At 39.7% G+C, this 24,908-nt stretch overlaps 2 gene segments (V, D, J or C) and 1 further gene, besides 2 other annotated features; all 3 read right to left on the reverse strand.

Moving 5' to 3' along the window:
• Positions 2,608–2,687: an enhancer, noted in NCBI's record as "active region_25866". NCBI's record gives its function as "activates an Ori minimal core promoter by ATAC-STARR-seq in GM12878 lymphoblastoid cells {active_cell/tissue: GM12878}" and the evidence as "EXISTENCE:reporter gene assay evidence [ECO:0000049][PMID:35858748]".
• Positions 8,555–8,755: a silencer, noted in NCBI's record as "peak6494 fragment used in MPRA reporter construct". NCBI's record gives its function as "represses an SCP1 promoter by STARR-seq MPRAs in K562 erythroleukemia cells {active_cell/tissue: K562}" and the evidence as "EXISTENCE:reporter gene assay evidence [ECO:0000049][PMID:32103011]".
• TRGC2 (T cell receptor gamma constant 2) lies at positions 9,355–18,903 on the reverse strand. The segment is given in 4 exon segments: positions 9,355–9,497; positions 11,759–11,806; positions 14,514–14,561; positions 18,574–18,903. Coding segments are annotated over 4 exon segments (569 nt in total), but the record flags the coding sequence as incomplete, so codon positions are not given.
• The window catches only part of TRG (T cell receptor gamma locus), a 128,032-nt gene continuing 112,478 nt past the window's right edge, over positions 9,355–24,908 (reverse strand).
• Positions 22,711–22,760, reverse strand: TRGJ2 (T cell receptor gamma joining 2). The segment is given in 1 exon segment: positions 22,711–22,760. A coding segment is annotated over 1 exon segment (50 nt), but the record flags the coding sequence as incomplete, so codon positions are not given.

Here is a 24,908-nt window from a genome sequence, read left to right on the forward strand (position 1 = left end):
TACTGTGTGCTGTTTTTTCAAACATGAATATTCCCCTTGACTCAAGGGAAGTCAGGATGTCTGTTAGTTTTCTTTCATCATTCATTGTGTCATTGAAGAAAAACCTAATTGCCTGTAGTGGTGATGATGCTGGCTTGGGTAGAAACTGACCTTTTGTGCATATCAAGTCACTTCTGAAGGGGTGGCCTGCCCCTCCACACCTGTGGGTATTTCTAGTCGGGTGGGGCGAGAGACTGAGAAAAGAAATAAGACGCAGAGACAAAGTATAGAGAAACAATAGTGGGCCCAGGGGACCGGTGCTCAGCACACCAAGGACCTGCACCGGCACCGGCCTCTGAGTGTCTTCAGTTTTTGTTCATTATTATTTTCATTATTTCAGCAAAAAGGAATGTAGTAGGAGAGCAGGGTGATAATAAGGAGAAGGTCAACAAAAAACGTGAGCAAAAGAATCTATATCATAATTAAGTTCGAGGGAAAGTACTATGCCTGGACGTGCACGTAGGCCAGATTTATGTTTCTCTCCACCCAAACATCTCAGTGGAGTAAAGAATAACAAGGCAGTATTATTGCAAACATGTCTCACCTCCTGCCACAGGGCAGCTTTTCTCCTATCTCAGACTTGAACAAATGTACAATCGGGTTTTATACCGAGACATTCAGTTCCCAGGGGCAAGCAGGAGACAGTGGCCTTCCTCCACGTCAACTGCAAGAGGCTTTCCTCTTTTACTAATCCACCTCAGCACAGACCCTTTACGGGTGTCGGGCTGGGGGACAGTCAGGTCTTTCTCATCCCACAAGGCCATATTTCAGACTATCACATGGGGAGAAACCTTGGACAATACCCCGCTTTCAAGGGCAGAGGTCCCTGCGGCTTTCCACAATGCATTGTGCCCCTGGTTTATTGAGACTAGAGAATGGCAATGACTTTTACCAAGTATACTGCTTGTAAACATTTTGTTAACAAGGCACGTCCTGCACAGCCTTAGATCCCTTAAACCTTGATTTTATACAACACATGTTTTTGTGAGCTCCAGGTTGGGGCAAAGTGGCTGGAGCAAAGCTACAAATTAACAACATCTCAGCAAAGCAATTGTTTAAAGTACAGGTCTTTTTCAAAATGGAGTCTCTTGTGTCTTTCCTTTCTACATAGACACAGTGACAGTCTGATCTCTCTTTCTTTTCCCTACAACTTCTATCTGTGCTTGTTCTAAGAGTGGATCAGATCTCAACAGTGCAACAGGGAGGCTTGCTGGGAGGCTGGAGTCTAACCAGGATGAGCGTCTCATAGTGGAGAAGGGGCAAGGAAAGTCTCAAATGTCTGGCCTTGAGACTAAAACCTTAGAACTCAATGGTGTTATGGGAGTGAGAATCTCCTGTTTCAGGATTGGAGTTGCATATACACCAACCTCATAGATGATGCTTAAGTTGCCAATCAGGTTGTTAATTTAACCTGAGAAGGAGCTCTCACCCAGACATGCTGGGGGAACCGGTAGGATGTTGCCAATCCTCAGAGGAAGCCAAGTCTGGCTCAGAAGTCTTACCTCTCTAAGCACAGACCAAGCGGAATGAGGTATAGTATTTGAATATGCTAGGAAGTCAGACTGTGGGAGCCTACAGTGATTATCTCAACGATTGAGTTATATATTCTCCTGGGACTGCATAGATTCAGCCCAGGGGCATGGGCACCCACTCTGCCATGTTTCGGTGGGGTAGGAGTGGAGACATTTGTCCTTTATGCTCACATTGCTGAGCAATCCTCTGATGGACCCTTATCACTCATTTATCTGATGTTATTGTCCTCTAGTAATCCTTGGTCTGGTTGATGCTGAAATCATTTTGTCTCTGTAGAGGGACTTGATGTGATTCCATTTATGACATTTGTTACACAGTTGAACTCAGGGCTTCTATATCCCTGGTTTCCTGTGGAGAAAGAAGCACATCACTGTTGCCCACATCTGTGATCTACCTGTGCTAATAGGTTCATGAGTCTTGTGTCACCCTGTTTACACTGAGGAAATGAAACCAAAGGTATTAGTGTCTCTGAATCAGGTGCCTCTGGAAGGTACAGATACTGGGTGGAATGTTAGGATCATCTCCGTGCTGCAAGATGTCCTCTGGTCTTCAGGACAGTGTCATGGGAGTGGACCGAAGGTGCCATGTCTGAACAGTCCTGGGCATCAGATTCCCAACTCACCTGGTAGCTAATGAACCTTGAATATCAAATGCAGGGAGCCCCACCTACCCACAGGGTGGAGAGTGTGTTTGATAGTAATCTTGTATGTGTGAAGATGGATATTTTATTTCCATTAGCTGTGGGCTCTTGAAAGTGAGCAAAGTTGGTTGTGGTTTAACTGTCCTCGTTTTGTCTTACAACACCCTAGCCACCCCATGCACAGCCCCAACCAGTAGGGGCCGGTTTGACTTTGAGCATTTTCCATGAATCAACCACATTTGCCAGAGCACGTAAACAAAAGAAGCCTGAGAAAATAAAACACCATCCGCCACATCAGCGCCCTCCCACCACCCACTCTGCCTCCTCCACCACCACCACTGCATTCTCTCTCTACATTGCTGAAGTTCGGGGCAGCCCAGCTTGCGTTGGGGAAGGAAATCGCTAAGAAGTGTGAAACCACAGGAGACATTGCCCAGTACCTCGGCTGGTGATATCAGCCCCACAAAGCCCTTAGTGATCTGAAAGTTTCCTCTCCCAGTGCAGAAATCATTCCAGATTTCTCTATAGAGGCCAGGTATTTGCCCTAAAGAGATTCAATCAATTCATGAGAATCAAGGAGTAGATCTAAATTAAATTTGATCTTTCTTAAGTCTGGTTGGTCTTGCTTTGTTTACAAGTAGGATTCTCTACTTGGTTTCCAAAAGAACATGTTTCACAGAAACAAGCTGATTGTAGGCAAACCAGAAAACCTTCCCAATGTTCAGTAACACATTGTTTTAATTCTAATATATAAAAATGTTTACTTTAAAAGGATTCACCGGAGAAAACAGAAAACACACAATCACTTATTTTTTCACCCACATACCAACAATGAACATTGTTTTATCTTTGTCTGCAGAAATACACAGACACACATATAAATGAATGGCATGCCTATTTGTGTTATTACTCAGTAGAAAAAATGGCCAAAGGACATGAACAAATATGGCACAGAATAATATAAAATAGACCTTAAACATAAAAAGATGTTTATCTTCACTCACAGTAAGAAAAAAAGCAAATTAAAACCACAATGCAGTACTATTTTTACCTGTCAAATTAGCAAAACCCAACATTAAGCAGTAGGCTGTCAGCACTCACACACATTGTGGGAGAAGGGGTTAGGGCCATTTCTATGGAGGGCAGTTTGGCAGTACCCATCAAAATTACCAGTGCATATGTTCAAATGACATAAAACACTATCATTCATTTCAGCATTTTTTATAATAGCAAAAGACTGGTACTAAACCAAGGCACCGATTGAAAGTATGTTCACCAGTGAAAAATATCTGTATTTAGCTGGGCACAGTGGCTCACACTTGTAATCCCAGCACTTTGGGAGGCTGAGGTGGGCGAATCACTTGAGGTCAGAAGTTCGGGACCAGCCTGGCCAACCTGGTGAAACCCTGTCTCTACTAAAAACACAAAAATTAGTTGGGCATGGTGGTGGGAGCCTGTAATCCCAGCTACTCGGGAAGCTGAGGCAGGAGAATCGTTTGAACCCAGGAGGCAGAGGTTGCAGTGAGCCGAGATCAGCCACTGCACTCCAGCCTGGGCCACAGAGCAAGACTCTGTCTCAAAAACAAAAAAAAGAAAAAAAAAATACCTGTAGTGAAGTGCCCCTGTATATAAACATAAAAAGAGCTTTAAGATTTATAAATGGAAAGAGATGTGCAGATTAATATATGCTATATACTCCCTGTGTAAAAAGGGGAAATGAGAACATATATACATGTACATGGATACTTATATATGTACATCCATATTTAACTAAATAAAAATTGGAGTGTTTTCGAACCATGTAAGTGTTCAAATGTATTTATCTCACAATAGGATTTATGCTATGAATATTATTTTTCAACTCCATATCTATTTATTTTCCAGTTTTTAACCCATTTCCTTTTTGCCCCAAGAATACTCATTTCTAATCCTAATGCAACAGAAATGTACATGATGTTACATTAGGATTAGAGAGAAGTTCTGTTTAGAAATAACTCCAAGAACAGTTTTTGTTTTGTTTTGTTTTTAAGAGAGAGAGAGTCTCACTGTGTCGCCCAGGCTGGAGTGCAGTGGCGTGATCTCAGCTCACTGCAACCTCCGTTCCGCCTCCGGGTTCAAGTGATGGTCCTGACTCAGCCTCCTGAGTAGCTGGGACTACAGGTGCACGCTGCCACTCCCGGCTAATTTTTTGTATTTTAATAGAGACGGGGTTTCACCGTGTTGCCCAGGCTGGTCTCGAACTCCTGAGCTCAGGCAGTCCACCCGCCTCAGCCTCCCAAAATGCTAGTATTACAGGCGTGAGCCACTGCACCCAGCCCAGGAACAGATTTGACATTTTATATTCACGTTGAAAATCAGTCATATTTGCTTCAGCCTCAAAAGAGTGTGTTTATGTAAAAACAGCGAGCTGCACTTTTTTCTAAATGGGAAATGGGTTAAAGAATCTATACTTTTTGGAAGATGCGTATTTGTCTATTTATGAATTTCTGATTGTTCACCTGGGTTAATTTGGGGCTGTTTGAAATAACACTATCGTGAATGAACATCCTTGCACATAAATCTTGGTACACCCCTTTCGTTTCCTTGGGAAATAAATGGGTCCCATGATAAGAACACCTTCCAGGTGGCGTGTGTTCCACCCGTGTGTAGTGAGCTCTGAGATGTTTCCTTACGGCTTGTGTGGAGCACAGCTGGAGTTCAGGCACTATTTCAGTCACTTGCTGGCCTCCACCCTGGCTGCATATTAGAATTATGAAAAGAGGATTTTCCAAGGTCCTGATGCCTGGCCCGTGATAAAGGCTCCCATAAGGAGAGCCCCTGGTAGGATGGATAAGGCAGCAGGTCTTAAGTCAGACAGTCCTGGAATCATGTGAACTCTGGGACTCACTCAGTGGTTAATTGGGCATATTTTTTAACCTCGAGATCTGGTTTTCTTATCAGTGAAATGAGCATAATGGCTGTAAGGTGATGCAGTTGAGAGCATTAGAGAGAGAGGACGCAAGCTGCCAAGCCATATTTCTGCTGCTCAGTAAGTGGTTGGTACTCACTATTCCTCAAACACAACAGAAAAAGCAAATAAATGAAAAAGAACCTAACAAATCATGGTGCAAGCTACGCATCTACTCAAATAACTTTTCATGGCTAATGAAAATCTTGAATTTCTAGCTGTTTGGCTGAATTATATGGGTGTAGTGTCTCTGGTTATCTCTTATTACTCAGAATTTCTCACTGGCAGTTATATAGGACTTTGATTAGTATAATGGGGAAAACATTAATCGTGACCTTCTTGAAAGACCAAAAACCTTCAAAAATAAAATCTATGAGGAAAGGAATTCCAAAACAGTAGAAAGAATAAATAATTAGAAATATTTTGAGAACTGTTGAACTGAAGTTTTACTTTTTTATAGTTGAGAAATATATGGAGTTTTTTTATATATAGTTTTTCCTTTTTTTTTTTCTTTCTTTTTCTTTTTTGAGACAGAGTCTCGCTCTGTCGCCTAGGCTGGAATGCAGTTGCGCGATCTCGGCTCACTGCAACCTCCGCCTCCCGGGTTCAAGTGGTTCTCCTGCCTCAGCCTCCCAAGTAGCTGGGATTACAGGCACAAGCCACTACACCTGGCTAATTTTTGTATTTTTAGTAGAGACAGGGTGTCACCATATTGGAGTTTTTTTCTTTTTTATTTGACAAGCGTGTGGAGTATGCTAACTCTGTAGTGACTATTGAGATACGTGTTTTTGTGTAGAACTGTATAAATCTTTGCCTAATTTTTCCATTGCACACCTGTGGGCACTGCCTGTTCTGGTACTTATTTTGTCCAACCATGTGCTTCGGTCTTTAATCACAGAAGTCCTATATGATGGATGGGAGCTCAGCATATAAAAGTCTTCCCAGCATTGACAAATTGGCAGGTTGGCTTATAACCCTCTAATTATCTGAACAGCATTGGAGCAAGGAGGGGAAATGTGAACAGCCAAAGAGGCAATTTCCTTCCTACTTCATAGCCTAATAAGGAAGGACATTTTCATGTGTTAATTGAAACTACAAGTAACCTGTTTTCACTCTAAGAGGAAATAACATAGAAGGTAAGAGCGGAGGTCCTGGAGCCTGGCTGCTTGAGTTCAAATTCCAGCCCTGTTTCTTAGTAGCTGTTTGATTATGCGAAAGTTCTTTAGCCCCCTCTGCCTCAGTTTCCCCATCCATAGAACAGAGATAATTGTACATATAGAATTTTTGTGAGAATTAAATGAGTGAACACGTCCTTAAGCCAGGACCGGGTACATGGTGGGCACTGTATTTGTGATTGCTATCATTACTTCCTCAGGGTGGTAATCACTGAATTTGTAACTTTAGGTAGAAATCTGAAATTATTTAATCTAAACACATTCTTCTAAAGACAGATGAACTTAGGCAATGTGGGATGGTTAAGAACAAATTGTGGCCGGTCATGGTGGCTGAAGCCTGTAATCCCAGCACTTTGGGAGGCCGAGTTGGGCGGATCGCCTGAAGGCAGGACTGAGGTTAGCTGAGTGTGGTGGTGGGCACCTATAATCCCAGCTACTTGGGAAGCTGAGGCAGGAGAATCACTTGAACCTGGAGGTGGAGATTGCAGTGAGCCAAGATCATGTCACTGCACTCCGGCCTAGGCAACAGAATGAGACTCCTTCTCAAAAAAAGGAAAAGAAAAGAACAAATGGTACAGCTTGTTAGAGCCAGACCAAGTGGCCAGGGCTCTAACTAGCTGTGAAGTGTGACTAGTATTCCTCCCACACCATGTGACCTCCCGATATGTGGTAGCTGTGCCATGGTGGAAACGTACTGGACCAAGAACAATGCATAACCTTCTTCTACCTCCTACCTCAGAAATGCACGTGGGTGTTCCAGAATCTCCTCCAAGGTGATTCTGCAGAGCTCTGAGCCTGTTTAGTCTCTGGAAGGAGCTGGGGTGTCAGAATGTTATACATACCCAGAGAGCACCATGAACCGTCCTGCTGTGTCTGAAATTTACAGTCCATTAGCACCCCCAAAAAGAGCAGCTGCAGATCTAGGACACACACTCACAGGGGTAGAATTTCTATACTCTTTACAGCCAAGGAAGCAATAATGGTAATTCCAGAGTAGGCCAATTTTACCCAAAGAGAAAAAACAAATGGGAAATTAGTGACAAACCAGTGGCCTGGAGTGTAGATAAGGAGAAAACACAGGTGCACCATTATTTCCTTAAGAAAATTCTCATTGACTCTGGTGAGGATGCCTTTAGTAAAGAAACAACGCATGTTTTGTTTTGTTTTCCCCAGTTGAAAGTCGGTGAAAGGAAAGTCGTGATGTTGGATAAATGTGTGTGTGTGTGTGTGTGTGTGTTTAAATATATGGGCTCTGGGTTCAGAGGGACCTAGCTTTAAATTACGACTATTACTTTAAAAATAGTGACCTTGAGTAGGTAATTTAATCTTTCTCATCTGTGAACTGTGAGCCTTAATTGTACTGACCTCAACTGGCTCATCAAGGATTTCGGATGCCTAGTGCATAGTAGACACTCACTGGGTCCCTATTCCCACCACCTAACCTCTCTGCGGAGAGGTGAGAGTAGAGATAACTGTTAGTGCTTTTGCATATGTGTGGAATCTACTATGTGAAAGGAAAAGAAAAACTCTGGATCCCAATTCATCATGCTATGTTTTAGAAAAAAATAAGCCAAAAGCTGGGTCATGTGAGAAGCTGCCTTTCCTTTTGTGCCTAAACAGAGAGCTACAGATGAAAGGTGAAATAGCTCCAGAGGTAGCTACTCTATGTTAACCATATCTTATGTAAAGTGCTGATTTATTGAGCGCAACATGAATACATAATTGGCAGTTCCCCTACCTGCTCCCTTGCTCTTGCAACATGTGGATAATTATACCCTCCCTCTCTCCCCTCCAGCCCACTTTCCTTTTTTAAACATTGAGGCCCTCAATTTCATCTTTGGAGAAAGGTGTAGACCATAGACTGTTTCTGTGATTCCATGTTATTTTCTTCTGATCATGCCCTTAGACTAGGCAAAATAAACTTCTAAGTTGATTGAGGCCTGTGTCAGACACTTTTTGGTTTATTACTGTCTCTAGAGCACCAACAGTGCGTGCCGATACTGTGGAGGACTTGCATGTGCCAGGTGTCATTAACTCATCTAATCCACATAACTTCAGGAAATGGGGCATTATAACTTCATTTTACATGAGGAGATTATGGCACATAGATTTCCTGGAACTCACCTGAGGTCACACAGATACGAAACACCATACCCAGGATTCCTGGGATCAGAGAGCATGTGCTGAACCTCTCCATCACGCTGCCTCTCTGCTTTTAGGGCAGCTCTCACGGGGGTATCGTGAGGATCAGGAAACACAGTGTCTGCGAAACACTCTACAGCTGAGCTCACACGGTACGCGTCACAGTAGATAGTGTCCTATAGCCACTGGAATGTCCTAAACCAGATGAATCTGACTCTGGTGACCTTTCAAACAGAAGCCACATGGGCTCCTTCGTTTGGTTGTAGTTCCTCTTAGAAGGTGTGATAACCACGATCTCAGGGAAAGAATTAGAAATGGGGTGTTGGACCATTCTTACAACCAATACAGAATTCCACAGCCCAATTGCCATGTTGTTTCTTACCTTGGATGTTCAATTTGATGTCATCCAATTAAAATACCATGGACAAAAGTCAACTTTTCATTTTTTTAAATTTATTTTGCTTATTACGGAAAAACACACCACATAATTCAACTAGCAAAGAAGACTGCTTCAGGGCGTGTAAAATGAAAGGCTTCCAGGCAGTTATCTGATTAAAGAACACTAAGAGAGGGACAAGGCTAGAAGCCGCAGGCTGTCTACACTATAGCAGGCGCTATTTGGGTTGGCTGGAGGAGCTGTGGAAAACATGGAGAGATTGGTGCTGGAGATCGCCATGGCTATTCCTCATTGTTATTACAGAGTGAGGTTCTCTGTGTGCCCACTGGTTTGAAAACCATTATACAATAATGATAGAATAGTACACACATGAGAACTGAAATGGCCCAAACCCAGAAAGAAAGCCCAACTAGATCCTCAGAAGACGCTTCTAGGGACAATAACCGATGAGGAAAAGATGGCCTCCTTGTGCCACCGTCTGTTATGATTTCTCTCCATTGCAGCAGAAAGCCGTTCTTCTAAGCAGACAGCAGGTGATGATGGCAAAATAGACCACACTCTTGAGGAGCAGGAGGAGGTACGTGTAATATGCAGAGGTGTTTGTGAGCTGCAGCAGTAGTGTATCTAAGAGAAATTGCACATGTTCTTTTTACAGAATAAGATATATTAATGCGAGAGGGGTTCACAAATACTTATTTCTGATGATTTACGTTGAAGTGATATTCCACCACCACCAAAACCTAAAAGTAAACATCTACTGCTACCAGCACCACCAAGAGTCAGACAAGTCAGAATTCAGCTTTCAAGTTGATTAACAACCTCTGCTAAATTCACTTAGAACATTCCCAACTATTAAAAAGTAAGGTTGCATTGTGGAAAATCAAAGAAAGTGGTTAATCCAGATTTGCTGATGTGTTAGGTAGTTGTGGCACACTCACCTGTCTTTCCTAAATGCCTCTAATTATGGCTATGCTATTATTGGGTGATTGCATTTAACATTATTTGAGGTTTTACAAGAGATATGTGATGTCAAGGAATAAGTAAAGACAGTGGGGGTGGACCACTAGTGCCTACTCAATGAGCTACAAGAGTGAGTCTCTTCCTGCAGAAATTTCCATTTATATGTTTTGTCTTCATAAAGTGAGAATTCCAGAAACATCAGTCCTTGGTGTGGAAAAGGATCTCAGGAAGTGATGTGTCCGTGACTCCCTGCCCTTGGTCAAGTGAGGTGGTACTGCCCCTCCTTGCCTGGTGTGGCAGCCTAAGTCAGAGCCCCTTGGTATTGGAAATAGAGGAAAGTTGAGCAGGGCTAGAGCCAATGCTTCTAGTCACATTCTTTGTGCATATGTAGAGAGAAAAAGCCAGAAACAAGTATTCATTCTGTGTCTGCTAAATGAGATACCCTACGCCAGACATCTCACATTCATGCCCTTATCTCTTCAATAACTGTGAATCTGGTGTAATTATTCTTAGTTGGCTGATGAGAAAACTGTTACTCACAAAATGTAGGTCACTTACACCTAATCATTAAAAGAGCTGGAATGAAAGTCTAGTCTGCAAAGCTCATGCACCCACCCAGCCCCACATTATGTCCCTTTCGTTTCAGATTCCTGCCTTGTAATGTCTTGCTATCTGTAATTCTTGCTATTTTTTCTATTGTAGAAAAAATAGAGGACTTAGTAACTGCACGAATTCTTTGTTTGATGTCCTGATTTGAAATGCCAGACCTAGCTGTGTGACATGTATAAGGGATTTTTATAGTTATTTACTTTAAAGGGACTGTAAAATGGGAGAAAATATATTGTACTACTTTATAGGAGTATTAAGATGATTAAACTAGAAAATGCAGAACAAGCCCTTCTGTGTAAAAAGCACTTGATAAACACTAGTTCGTGTTATTAGCTACTAGCAAAGACCAAAGACTAAAACAAAACAACTCAAGAAGCAACATGGTATCATGTTTTCCCCAGTCATTATAACAAAAGACAGAAGGCCGGGCACAGTGGCTCACGCCTATAATCCCAGAAGTTTGGGAGCCCGAGGGGGCAGATCACGAGGTCAAGAATTCAAGACCATCCTGGCCAGCGTGGTGAAACCCCATCTCTATTAAAAATACAAAAATTAGCCAGGTATGGTGGTGTGCACCTGTAGTCCCAGCTACTTGAGAAGCTGAGGCTGGAGAATCGCTTGAACCAGTAAGGCGGAGGTTATGGTGAGCCGAGATCGCGCCACTGCACTCCAGCCTGGGTGATAGAGTGAGACTCCTCCGTCTCAAAAAAAAAAAAAAAAAAAAAAAAAAAAGACAGACGGATGAATAAAGTCTGTTTTTTGAAATAACTGAAAGCATATCACTGTACCCTCTAATTTACAGTCATCTCATACCCGAAGCAGTAGTTAGGTTTGTTAATACAACTCCTAGAAAAAGAGGGACTAATTTAAAATATCACTAGGTCCATTCTGCAGCATCCAACCTAGCAAAATCCATTCCCTGATTTTTCTTTTTTTTTTTTTTTTTTTTTTTTTGAGACGGAGTCTCGCTCTGTCGCCCAGGCTGGAGTGGAGTGCAGTGGCGCAATCTCGGCTCACTGCAAGCTCCGCCTCCCGGGTTCACGCCATTCTCCTGCCTCAGCCTCCCAAGTAGCTGGGACTACAGGCGCCCGCCACTAAGCCCGGCTAATTTTTTGTATTTTTAGTAGAGACGGGGTTTCACCGTTTTAGCCGGGATGGTCTCGATCTCCTGACCTCGTGATCCGCCCGCCTCGGCCTCCCAAAGTGCTGGGATTACAGGCGTGAGCCACCGCACCCGGCCCATTCCCTGATTTTTCAAGCCAGAGAAGTTCAAAACTTAAAATGATCAGGAGGAAAGGAAAAACACAAAAGCTTACCATTTGCATCTTTTGACCAATTGTCTTTGGGATCCATTGTGATGACATCTAGAAGAATGAGAGCAAGTACTAGTCAATTGTTCATGTCCATTATTTGTCAAGGTGTGTGTGTGTGTGTGTGTAATTAAATGAATATTTATAAAACCTGTCAACAGAGAGGCAGGAGGACAGTTATTAAAAATATGAGCCCTCAATTCCAGAAATAATTGGTCTGATTCTACGTAATCAGGTAGATCTAATTTATATACTATGTTTTTGCATATCAAAATGTTGAAGTTCGTGAAGAATACATTTTTCTTTTTTATCACAACTGGAGTGTAGTATCCAAGAACATTTGGTTTTCCTTCTGTATTCATGGCTCCTAGCACAGTGCCTTTTTATTTATCAAAAACAGACCACAAAGTATGTTTTTGATAAATACTTGTTCAGTGGAAAAATAAACTGATCAAGTGGCTACTTTACACCCTTCAGCACACACTGCTGACCTGAAATCAGCAAAAACAATAATTTTGGGGTTTTTTTTTTGACGCAGAGTCTCACTGTCGCACAGGCTGGAGTCGAGTATAGTATGGTGTCATCACGGCTCACTGAAGCCTCAAACTTCACAGGTTCAGGAGATCCTCCCATCTCAGTCTCCCGAATAGCTGGTAATACAGGCACACACCACCAAGCCAAGCTAATTTATGTACTTTTGTAGAGACAGGGTTTCGTCTTGTTGCCCAGGCTGGTTTCAAACTCCTGGGCTCAAGCAATCTTCCTGCCTTGTCCTCCCAAAATTCTGGGATTACAGGGATAAGAAACCACACCTGACCAAGAATTCTTTCCGTCCTAGAATCCACAACAGAATCTTACATATTTGAAGGAGTCTGGCTTAGAAAAATTTCTCATCTAAGCAGAAAAAAGCAGTCATACCTTTCCAAATCATGCATATCCCCAACATCCCAAGCAAGTACCCATGATTTTCTGGAGGTATAGTGTTTCCGGACATAACAACAACAATATTAATAAAATCTAACATCTACTGAGTGCTCATTATTGTGTCAGGCACTATGTTAAATGCTTGCCATGCATTTTTTTGTTTAATTCCCCAGTAACACTTAAGTGAGCATTATTACGTAATACTCACGTACATGAGTATTACATGGCCCCATGTTCTGAATGAGGAAATAAAGTTTAAAAAGTGCAGGCAACTTGCCGAGAATCATATCAGCAAATAGCAGAGCCAGTATTCAGACGGTAGTTGTAGGGGAAGAAAAGAAACTGGACATATGAAAAGTACTTTGTAGGAATAATCCACAGAAATAGATAGAAAGTTATTTATAAAGAGACAATATAATGTCACCATTGTGTACTCTAAGAAAATCTCTTTCAGTATGTTAATTACTCTCAGCAAATGGTCATTTTTATTACAGGAGCTCAGCATTTCAGTGCGATTCTTTCTGGGACTAGAAAGACAGAGGCCAAGTCACATTGACAGTTCTCTCAATAAAACCTGAGGTGAGAGTTGAATTTATCTGTGATGTTAAAAAAAAAAAAGGAAGAAGCAAACATGCATACAAAGACAACATATTTTAAAACAGAAGAAAACACAGTTGCATTGGTGTGTTGGTTTATTATTTTTCTAGTAGATGTGTTCTTGTCTATACGGATATGATTCTGGTGCGCAATTTTATGCACTCACTGAGATCTTTATTTCATGAATTCTAAAAACATGGACTTGAGGTATGGGTTTTGGGTAAGTCTCAAGAATGCAAACGTTAGTTATCAAGTCTGCATGTCCAAATATCTTTAAGGGCTAACTTTAATGGGTTTTCAATGTCTTTTTATTTTCCTCATGGTGACTTCATTTATTAAAAGATAAATGAATATGACTATCACTTATTTCCATGAATTGATTGAGGAAAAAAGAATAAAGTAACTATTCCCCATAATAAAATCTCCAAGTGTATCCTGAGTTCTCTCTCTCTCTCAATCAAGGTTGGTTGCAAACGTGGACCAGATTAGTTTTATCTCCTTGAAAAGCACTTCATTGATTATACAATATGATCACTTCCATGTTATATTTTTAGCTTTTCTCAGAAAAACAAACTTCCAAGAAAGAGCATTAGAAATCTACTGTAGAATGACATTAAGAGAAGTGTCCTCCTTAACGTAGTTGCCTTGAGAAGCGCATGAAAGACATTTTACTGTTAGGCCGGGCACAGTGACTCACGTCTGTAATCCCAGCACTTCGGAGGGCTGAGGGGGCAGATCACGAAGTCAGGAATTCTAGACCAGCCTGGCCAACATAGTGAAACCCGGTCTCTGCTAAAAATACAAAGATGACCCGGACATGGTGGCATGTGCCTGTAGTCCCAGCTACTTGAGAAGCTGAGGCTGGAGAATCGCTTGAACTCCAGAGGCGGAGGTTGTAGTGAGGTGAGATCGCGTCACTGCAATCCAGCCTGTTCAACAGAGCGAGACTCCGTCTCAAAAAAGAAAAAAAAGAAAAGAAAAAAGACACATGGATGAGTAAAGTCTGTTTTTTGAAATAACTGAAAGCATATCACTGTACCCTTCAATTTACAGTCATCTCTTACATGAAGCAGTAGTTAGGTTTGTTAATACAACTCCTAGAAAAAGAGGGACTAATTTAAAATATGATTAGGTCCATTCTGCAGCATCCAACCTAGCAAAATCCATTCCCTGATTTTTCAAGCCAGAGAAGTTCAAAACTTAAAATGATCAGGAGGAAATAAAAAACACAAAAACTTACCATTTGCATCCTTTGAATAATTGTATTTGGGATCCACTGTGGTGACATCTAGAAGAATGAGAGCAAGTACCAGTCAATTGTTCATGCCCATTATTTGTCAAGGTGTGTGTGTGTGTGTATGTGTGTGTGTCTGAGTGTGTCTGTGACTGTGTGTAATTAAATGAATATTTATAAAACCTGTCAACAGAGAGGTAGGAGGACAGTTATTAAAAATATGAGCCCATAATCCCAGAAATAATTGGTCTAATTCTGTGTAGTTAGGTAGATCTAATTCATATATTATGTTTTTGCACATCAAAATGTTGAAGTTTGTGAAGAATACTTTTTTCTTTTTTATCACAACTGGAGTGTAGTATCCAAGAACATTTGGTTTTCCTTCTGTATGCATAGTTCCTAGCACAGTGCCTTCCACAAAGTACGTTTTTGATAAATACTTGTTCAATGGAAAAATAAACAGAACAAGTGGCTACTTTACAGCCTTCAGCACACACTGCTGACATGAAATCAGCAAAAAGAATAATTTTGGGGGTTTTTTTGAGGCAGGATGTCACTGTCACCCAGGCTGGAGTGGAGTATAGTATGGTGTCATCACGGCTCACTGAAACCTCAAACTGCCCAGGCTCAGGTGATCCTCCTATCTTAGCCTCCTGAGTAGCTGGGAGTACAGGCACTCACTCCCATGACCAGCTAATGTTTGTATTTTTTGTAGAGACAGGGTTTCGCCATGTTGTCCAGGCTTGTTTCCAACTCCTGGGCTCAAGCAATCTTCCTGCCTTGTCCTCCCAAATGATGAGATTACCAGGATAAGCCACCACACTCGGCCAAGAATTCTTTCAGTCCTAGAATCCACAACAGAATCTTACATGTTTGAAGGAGTCTGGCTTAGAAAAATTTCTCATCTGAGCAGTAAAGAGCAGTCACTCCTTTCAAAATCATGCATATCCCCAACGTCCCCAGCAAGTACCCATGATTTTCTGGAGGTATAGTGTTTCTGGACATAGCAACAACAATATTAATAAAAGCTAACATCTACTGAGTGCTCATTATTGTGTCAGGCACTATGTTAAATGCTTCCCATGCATTTATTTGTTTAATTCCCCAATAACACTGAAGTGAGTTGTATTTTGTATGGCCCCATGTTCTGAATGAGGAAATAACGTTTAAAAAGTGCAGGCAACTTGCCGAAAGTCATATCAGTGAACAGCAGAGCCAGTAGTCAGTCAGTACTTGTAGGGGAATAAAAGGAATTGGACATATGAAAAGTGCTTTGTAGAAATAATCCACAGAAATAGATAGAAAATAATTTATAAAGAGACAATATAATGTCACCATTGGGCCATTGTGCACTATTCTAAGAAAATCTCTTTCAGTATGTTAATTACTCTCAGCAAATGGTCATTTTTATTACAGGAGCTCAGCATTTCAGTGCAATTCTTTCTGGGACTAGAAAGAGAGAGGCCAAGTCACATTGACAGTTCTCTCTCAACTGAGGTGAGAGTTGAATTTATCTGCGATGTTTAAAAAAAAAAAGGAAGAAGCAAACATGCATACAAAGACAACATATTTTAAAACAGAAAAAAACAGAGTCACCTTGGTGTTTTGGTTTATATTTTTCTAGTAGATGTATTCTTGTCTATACGGATATGATTCTGGTGTGCAGTTTTATACACTCACTGAGATCTTTATTTCATGTATTCTAAGAAATGGACTTGAGGTATAGGTTTTGGGTAAGTCTCACGAATGGAAATGTTAGTTATCATGTCTGCATGTCCAAATATCTTTAAGGACTGACTTTAATGGGTTTTCATTTTCCTCATGGTGACTTTATTTATTAAAAGATAAATGAAAATGACTGTCACTTATTTCCATGCATTGATTGAGGTAAAATGAATAAAGTAACTATTCCCCATAATAAAATCTCTAAGTGTATCCTGAGTTCTCTCTCTCTCAATCAAGGCTGGTTGCAAATGCAGACCAGGTTAGTTTTATCTCCTTTGAAAGCACTTCATTGATTATATAATATGATCACTTCCATGTTATTATATTTTTAGCTCTTCTCAGAAAAACAAACTTCCAAGAAAGAGCATTAGAAATCTACTGTAGAATGACATTAAGAGATGTGTCCTCCTTAATGTAGTTGCCTTGAGAAGCACATGAAAGACATTTTACTGTTAGGTCCGGCACAGTGACTCACACCTGTAATCCCAGCACTTTGGGAGGCTGAGGCGGGTGGATCACTTGAAGTCAGGAGTTCGAGACCAGCCTGGCCAACATGGTAAAACCCGATCTCTACTAAAAATAGAATAATTAGCGAGATATGGTGCCAGGCACCTGTAATTTCAACTTCTCGGGAGGCTGAGGCAGAAGAATCGCTTGAAACTGGGAGGTGGAGGTTGCTGTGAGCCGAGATCACACCATAGCACTCCTGCCTGGGCTACAAGAGTGAAACTCTGTCTCGGAAAAAAAAAAAGACATTTTACTTTTAGAATTTAGTGTAAAGTAAAACACATTATAAAACTGTAACTTGTCTCCTGTATGGTATTCACTGCCCTGGAACTTACTATGCTTTTTATTTCACCCTGATCACTGGAAAAATCAGAACACTTAAGCACAGTGGTAAAACTACCCTCAAGCTTTGCTCTTTTGTCTCCTCTTTGTGTCTCAGCAAAGGAAATAGAAAATTGGGACTGTTTTTATAACCCCACTTCAGTTAGTTTCAGGAAAGGCTATACCTAATACAGTAACTACACGAATGAACACATCCATGCTACCATTTTGAAAGCAAGCATTTTCCCTGCCATTGTTTCCTTTGCACTCCATTATAGCCCCAGGAGAAAGTCAACGCAACTGTCCAAATCACATTTGATCATTGCAGAAACTCAGGATCTGAAAAGCTAAAGACTTACCCTAGAAATTTGGAATGGTACGTGGCAAAGATCTTCAAACATTTTGTTAATGCTTGTTCCCCCAGGCTAAAAAGGACTTGTTAACCACAGGAAAAAGCACAAAATGAGTCCTTTTCATGCCCACTCTTGAGATGTTGGACTGTTATGTTCATATTCAGGATGTTGACATATAGTGACAGACTGGACCACTGGGCCAGAGCACATTCAGCCCTTGGACCAATCGTCTAGAGATGTACAGAATCTGCATCAAAGGCACTGTTTTGGGACCTCGCGCATGAATCATGAGTGACCCTGAGTGATCAGGAAGAGAGTATATTCTCTGCACTGTCATGCATCATCCTTAGGACAGTAACTCATCCTTGTCTGTTCATCCACATTTCCACTAAGCCTGGCGTGTCATAATTGTACAATAAATGTTTATTGAGCTGCATTCACCAATGGCAGGAAATGCATTTATTATGGAAAATGGAAGAATGTTTGTACATGTAAGCCTTACCAACCTGTAATTATGAAATGTTACTTTATGGTGATATATAAAATGAAACTCTGAAAAACCCAAGGCCTCTATAAAACTGCAGTGACCAAGACTATTCTATGTTTTGTAGAGCCACACTCCACAGATAAACATTATCTACAGATAAATATGATCTACAGTTATCTTCAGATAAACATTATTTTGTCAACAATGAACCCGTTGTTTTTAGGTTAAACTTTGTGGGTAGCAAGATTGAGGTGAGTGACTCTCCTGCTTGGGCAGAACATTCCTGAAAGACATATATATGTTATTTCCTGATCAAGTAAAGTCATCAAAAGAAGGGAGAACACTTTTTGAGCGTTTACCACGTGTCACGTTGCTAGATGCTTCTGTGTATGTTGTTTCTTTAATCCATCTAACAACCCTAAAAACCAGCACGTGACTTTCTTATTTTGGATAATGGAGCTGAGGCTGACAAACCTTCAGCAACTTTTTCAATTTTGTTTTCTCCAAAACCTATACCATTTTAATTCTATAGAAAAGTAGCAGGGCATTTACGCTACCATTAAATGTAACAATTTTTAAGAAAGATTTATGTTTTTCATTAATACTGAAAGGAAAAAATGCAGCATTCACTTTCAAAGAAGTGTTCTGACAGATGATATGTGTAAACACATACCTGTCTTTATTGGAGGAAAGATAATTTCTTGATCAATTCCGTTTTTATTATTCTCATGTCTGACGATACATCTGTGTTCTTTGTCCAGTGACTCTTCTGGCACCGTTAACCAGCTAAATTTCATGTATGTGTCGTTAGTCTTCATGGTGTTCCCCTCCTGGGATCCCAGAATCGTGTTGCTCTTCTTTTCTTGCCAATGTATCTTAATAATATCTGGGAAAAATTTCTCAAGAAGACAAAGGTATGTTCCAGCCTTCTGGAGTTTTGTTTCAGCAATCGAAGGAAGAAAAATAGTGGGCTTGGGGGAAACATCTGCATCAAGTTGTTTATCTATGGGGAGAAATGAAATATGAGTTTAAAAGAATCATTAGAGAAACACACACATTGCACGGTTTGGAGTGGCCTAGTACATAACCATAAAAAGAGAAGATGCCATTGAGCTGGTGTCCACCGCGGCCTTTCATCCAGGATAGGCTGCACAGTACTTATTATTGTGCTTATTTTACAGATGTTGAAAAGAGAATCAAGACATTAAATAACTTGCCAAAAGTCACAGCTCTCAAGTGTCAGATGCTGGACGAAAACCTGGCCTTTGTTTATTCTGCACATGCTGTGATGAGTGTGATTTTTAACTGCCTCCTACCAGGGCTTCCAAAGTTCATGAGCATATTTATTTTATTTTTAAATCTCTTTTGTTTCATCACAGTGAAGCAGGTTTTCAAGGTGGATGGCAGGGGAAAGTGGAAGGTCAGAAAACCTTAATGATCTCTCTACAGATGAGACTCTTTGGTCCTTTTCTCACTTCCCTTTTCCATCCTTTGTAACTTATGTTCTTTGGCCAAATATGACACATTCTCATGTTCTGCAATTTCGTGTACTTCCACTCTTCATTTAACTGATTCTGCGATGCACCATATTTATCTTGTTATTTATCTTATTTCCCATATGAATCAATGTCAAAATTTTTGTTGTTGTTGTTGAGACTGGGGCTTGCTCTGTCGTCCAGGTTGGAATGCAGCGGCAAGATCATAGCTCACTGCAGTCTCGACTTCCCAGGCTCAAGTGATCCTCCCACCTCAGCCTCCCAAGTAGCTGGGACTACAGGTATGCATCACCATGCCTGGCTAATATTTGTTTTTTCTAGAGACATATTTCACCATATTGACCAGGCTGGTTTAAAACTCCTGCGCTCAAGTGATCTGCCTGCCTCAGCCTCCCAAATCCTGGGATTATAGGTGTGAGCCACCATGCCTAGCCATTTTGTTCACTTTTATTTTTAACATACACAGTCACTTGTTTTAAAGAGAATCTACTTCCGCATGTACATACTGTCTATCAAGTTGACCATGTAGCTTCAATGTGTATACCATGAGCAGTCCCCCTAGTTAATATCTAACTTTATATAACATCTCAATTTCACATCTGCACCCTCCAAGTTTTGGGATGCAGCAGTACTTACAGCTGTACCTCCAGATTATTCACCATCTCTTGACTTTAGAAACAAAATGGCAACATTTCCAAAATTCTTATTTAAATTTTTTCTTGATTATTTTCAGAAATACTCTTGTGTTAATCTTCTCCAGTAATGCACTTATCAAAATTTCATTTTGCTTTAGAAAATATTCACCAAAAGCACATTTTATTTTGGAATTTCATTTGAAGTTTAAGAATGACTAAGAATGCACCAGGGGTGTAATTTTTATACTGGTTTTTATATAAATTTACCCCATTAATGAGAAGGTCTATGTAAATCAGTGTATCTATATTTTGACTCTTTATGTCTCTCCCAGAATTTGTATCTGTCCTAATATGCTATTTAACTGTTTTAAATCTCCATTATTCTCTTTGTCTTAGCCTGCTGAATAAAATGAGTATGTAATTGCTCTATTAAAAGTCATGATTTCAGAGCTTCTTATAGGGATAGGGTCAAGATACATAACAAAGCATCATATGTTTACAAAGGCATATCACTTGAATCTGGGATGTTAATGGGTTATACACGTATTTTTAATCTAATAACTGAAATTATAAATGTTACAATTCTTTCTATTTTGATTTCCCATTGAAACTCCAATGCTTTGGCTGGTTTGAAGTGAGTTTAATAATTGAACAATTTCTTAAGAAAATAAGAATTAAATTTCTCATTTCAGAAGAAAAGAAAACAATCTTGATAATTTCTGTCTGTGTAGCAAAGCTTCTGATTTTCATACAAAATTAGTAAACATATACAGAAATATTAATTTGTGAGCATGCTATAAATTTAATTAGGCATAATGTGCTCATCTTAATTTCATACTCTTTGCTTTTAGTGCAAATAGTATTTTACTTGTTATACTTGTGAGACAGTGTATATTTCTCCACCATATAGTTTGCTTCTAATTTTAAAAGCATGTTATAAAATATGAGTAATTTTTCAATTGTACATTATATTTATATAATTTTAGTCTCTAGTCAATGTATTTTCCAATCTAATTTTCATCCTAAGAACTAGTGTCTCTTCATTGAAATACTTCTAATTCATTGTACTAAAGAAATTAAAAATCAAATGATAAACTTGGACATTTTCTGTACGGTACCACAGCATTCATTGTCTCTTGCCCCTTTCTTTAGCTAGATTCTTTAAGTTTCATTCTTTTCAGGACAAAATGAATCTGGAACTTCCATAACTTTCTCAAGGTAATAGTTAACGAATCATTAAATAGCATACTCGATTATACATGGTAAGGGCCGATATTCTGGATCATCCTCTCACATGATTTTTAAAATACTACTTTTAAAATGTACATATTAAGAGTGTTTTTTATGGTCAAGTATGGTACATTTTTACTTACTTCAGTAACAAATAGAATATATATATTTTATTTATTTAAATAAACCTGTTGGATTCATTTATATACATTTATTTGCATAATCAAATAGTATATTTGAGTTAAATTGCCTAAGTTGTTTGTAGTTTATTAAAATGCAGCGTTGTAAATTTACCAAGTATCAACTACAGTTTTATAGACGGTATGATATATTAAATCTACATGTGGATATTTATTTAAGAGTTCTCTATTTCTTATTTTTTCACTAGCTAAATAGTTATAGCCATTTTATGTTTAAATATGTATTTCAGATTTATGATGTTTCCAACTGGATTTAATTGATTTGATATCTTGACTATTTTTGGTAAGATTTTAACCTTTTTTTCCTGAGACATATGAACAGAACCCTAAACTAATTGGCTATAAATCTTAGGACCAATATGTTGGTGTTAGAAATGATATCAATTAAGATAAAGGATTAAGTAAAGCACATAGAACAACAAAAATAAAAAACAGACATCTTAATACAATGTTTTTGCCACGTGATTAAAAAGTCTGCTAACAAGAAACGAATCCATAAGTTCAATTTTTGTCTGTGAGCTGATGTTAAGATAACCTTCCATTTGAGCAGTTAGAAGTACAGCTGAATCCTCTGGAGAATTGCTGCTCTGTAAATTAGATGGACTGAGAGCAACTCTCCATAGTAGATCCCATTGTCTCTTTACATGTGAATCCAGAAAACATTTGTTGGGCACCTATTTTGGGTTGGACAATGTGCCAAGTACTTAATTCACACTATGTTGTGCAATTCTTATACAACCCTGCTGAATTCATACTGTTATCCCATTTTATGGATTAGAAAACTGAGGCCAGAGAATAATCACTCAATTTCACTAAGCAGTGAGTAGTGGAGCCAGAGTTCCAGGTGGACCTGACTCCAACACCCGGGCTCCTTCACAACAAGAGTCAACATCTCTTTGACCATCAGAGATGAACATGTGTCCGCTTTATAGAGTCTATCACAAACTAACCTGTCATAATACATTTGGTCTCAGGGCCAGACATTTTAATGAGATCATTTCATACATTACATATGAGCCCTTTATGGAAGTCCGTATATGCACAAAGCCAAATCCTATTATGATATCTGTGCCATGTTATCTATGTTCTCTTTTAGTATGAGCATTTGTTTTAAAGTCTCTCCTAGGATTTCTACATCAAATCCCCATCCAATTCCTCTTTTTTCTAAACATTATTACATTATTCCAGTTTAATCATTTCCTGCCTTCCCTCTATTACCTTGGAAATGTTGTATTCTTCCGATACTTACCTGTGACAACAAGTGTTGTTCCACTGCCAAAGAGTTTCTTATAATAATTCCACAGTGATTCAGTCCATATCAAAAACTCTAATTCAGTTTCCCTGAGTTCTTCAAATTCTGGTGGTCTGGGATTCTCAAAAGACCAGGGTTCCAGTCCTGGTTCATTTTGCTCATAACAAGTTCTGTTGCTCCACAAATCAAATAACTTAAAGCTTTTGGTGTTTTATTTGTCTAAAAACAGTGATGTTTCAAAATCAGTTCAACATCGCTACCAACACTGAAGTGAGACCAAAATGAAACAAGATATAAAAAAGCAATTTGATTAAAATGTTATAGGTCCCAGTGCAGTGGCTCGTGCCTATAATCCCAGCACTTTGGGAGGCTGAGGTGGGAGGATTGCTTGAGCTCAGAATTTTGAAGCCAGCCTGGGCAACCCAGTATCTAGTGAGACCCCATATTTACTAAAAATACAAAAAGCATTAGCTGAGCATGATGTGCACGACTGTACGCCCAGCTACTCGAGAGGCTGAGGCAGGAGGGTCACTTGAGCCTAGGAGTTCGAGGCTGCAGTGAGCCTTGATCACACCACTGCACTCCCGACTGGGCAACAGGGGAAGACCCTGCCTCAAAAAAAAATGCTGTGGAAATATAAGAGATTATGATGAATATGGTGTCATTGTTATGATTGGCAATCTGTTTGCTATGATTGTGTGCCTTGACATGACATTTTAACCCTATAGGACCAAGCATTGCCCTTACTAAAAAAAATTCAGCATTTTGGAGTGGCAGTTAAATCCATAGCAATTAAGCAGGAAGAATAATTTCTCAGTTCCTCTGTTTGCATTCCACTTTGCTCTGGGATTCTCAAAGCCATCGTCCCCATCATCACAAGAAACATGCCTTCCACACACCCAATCTTTAATAGGTTATCCTTTGCCTTACCTGCCGTGTTAAGAAAATCAAAGGGAATATTGGCTAAAGTCTAATATATGCAGTCAGTGTCAGTGTATGGAAATTCTTCACTTGTGTTTTTCAAAACAAGTGAGCCTTTTTCTAATCAGCAGCACAACTTATTTGCCTTCCAAGTTTCACCAGAAACTTCAGCCTCAAACTGACTTCTGTCTAGTTTATGCCAAAGTCCCGCTCGAAACACCTGGCTTGACCCTTCAAGGGAGAATGGGTAGAGAAAAGGCAAGAGGCCTGGTCCTCAAATCCATCTCTCTGTTGTCACTTTAGATCACTACATGTTATCTGCCTGACCATGTCTGCTGAGCATCACCATCTGCGCATTTCATTAAATGTCAGGATGCCCATAGCACTGATGCAGTGGTAATATGCAGTGGGTTTTTCATGACCATTCCTTTCATTTTCCAAAATGGAAGTTGAAGGCACTGCCCACTCTTCCATTTCCTTCTAAAGGACTCATGCATTGAAGTCTTTTTCCAATTTAGTAATAGAAAAAATATGATATTTGAAAATTTGGTGTGCTTCTTTTTATCAATTAGTAAGATGTATGTATTCCCCTACCTTTTTCTCCTTCTTTTGAGCATAAAATTTTAAACTGTGCTCCTCACTAGGTAATCACAGGCCTTTTTCCTTCTCCTTTCCTTAGGGCTTTAGATCATCTGTATATATTTAATGGTCTGACTGTGCTTGTGTATTTTAATTTAGGTCTTCTCAAATAGATTTTAGAAACAGATAGCTTAAATAAATAACAAAGAGTTTGTGCATTTAGCATGTTTCTCTTTTGTCCCCAGGAGTTGATGGTTTTGTAAGGTCAAGCTCAAATAAGACACAAGGAATGGAGAATATGTTTGCAAATCCTAGCTCTGTGATAGGGACACCTACATACTAAATTTAGATAGAAAGTGCCAGAACCTAAAATGAGGCTTTTTTTCCAAAATTTTTCTCTCACAACATGGGGAGGTGCCTTATGTATGGTACAGTCTTTGTGTAAACTCTCATATTAAAAAATGTTCTTCTAATACTCTGCTTTGATCCAGAAGGACTAACTGGAGGAGATACCGACATGAAATGAACTCAATGAATGCTAGTTTTGGGGATAGCACTGGTAAAAGGAAAAAAAGCAAAGAAATTTATCATGGATTTGGTCATTATTACTTGGAGCTAAAGTCCCTGTAGTTCTTACTTACTTCATACAAGTGTAGAATAACAGAATAAATCGGAAAAAATAATTTCCTTTTATT

This window comes from Homo sapiens, chromosome 7 (genome assembly GCF_000001405.40).
Source record: "Homo sapiens chromosome 7, GRCh38.p14 Primary Assembly".
NCBI classification, from domain to species: domain Eukaryota; kingdom Metazoa; phylum Chordata; class Mammalia; order Primates; family Hominidae; genus Homo; species Homo sapiens.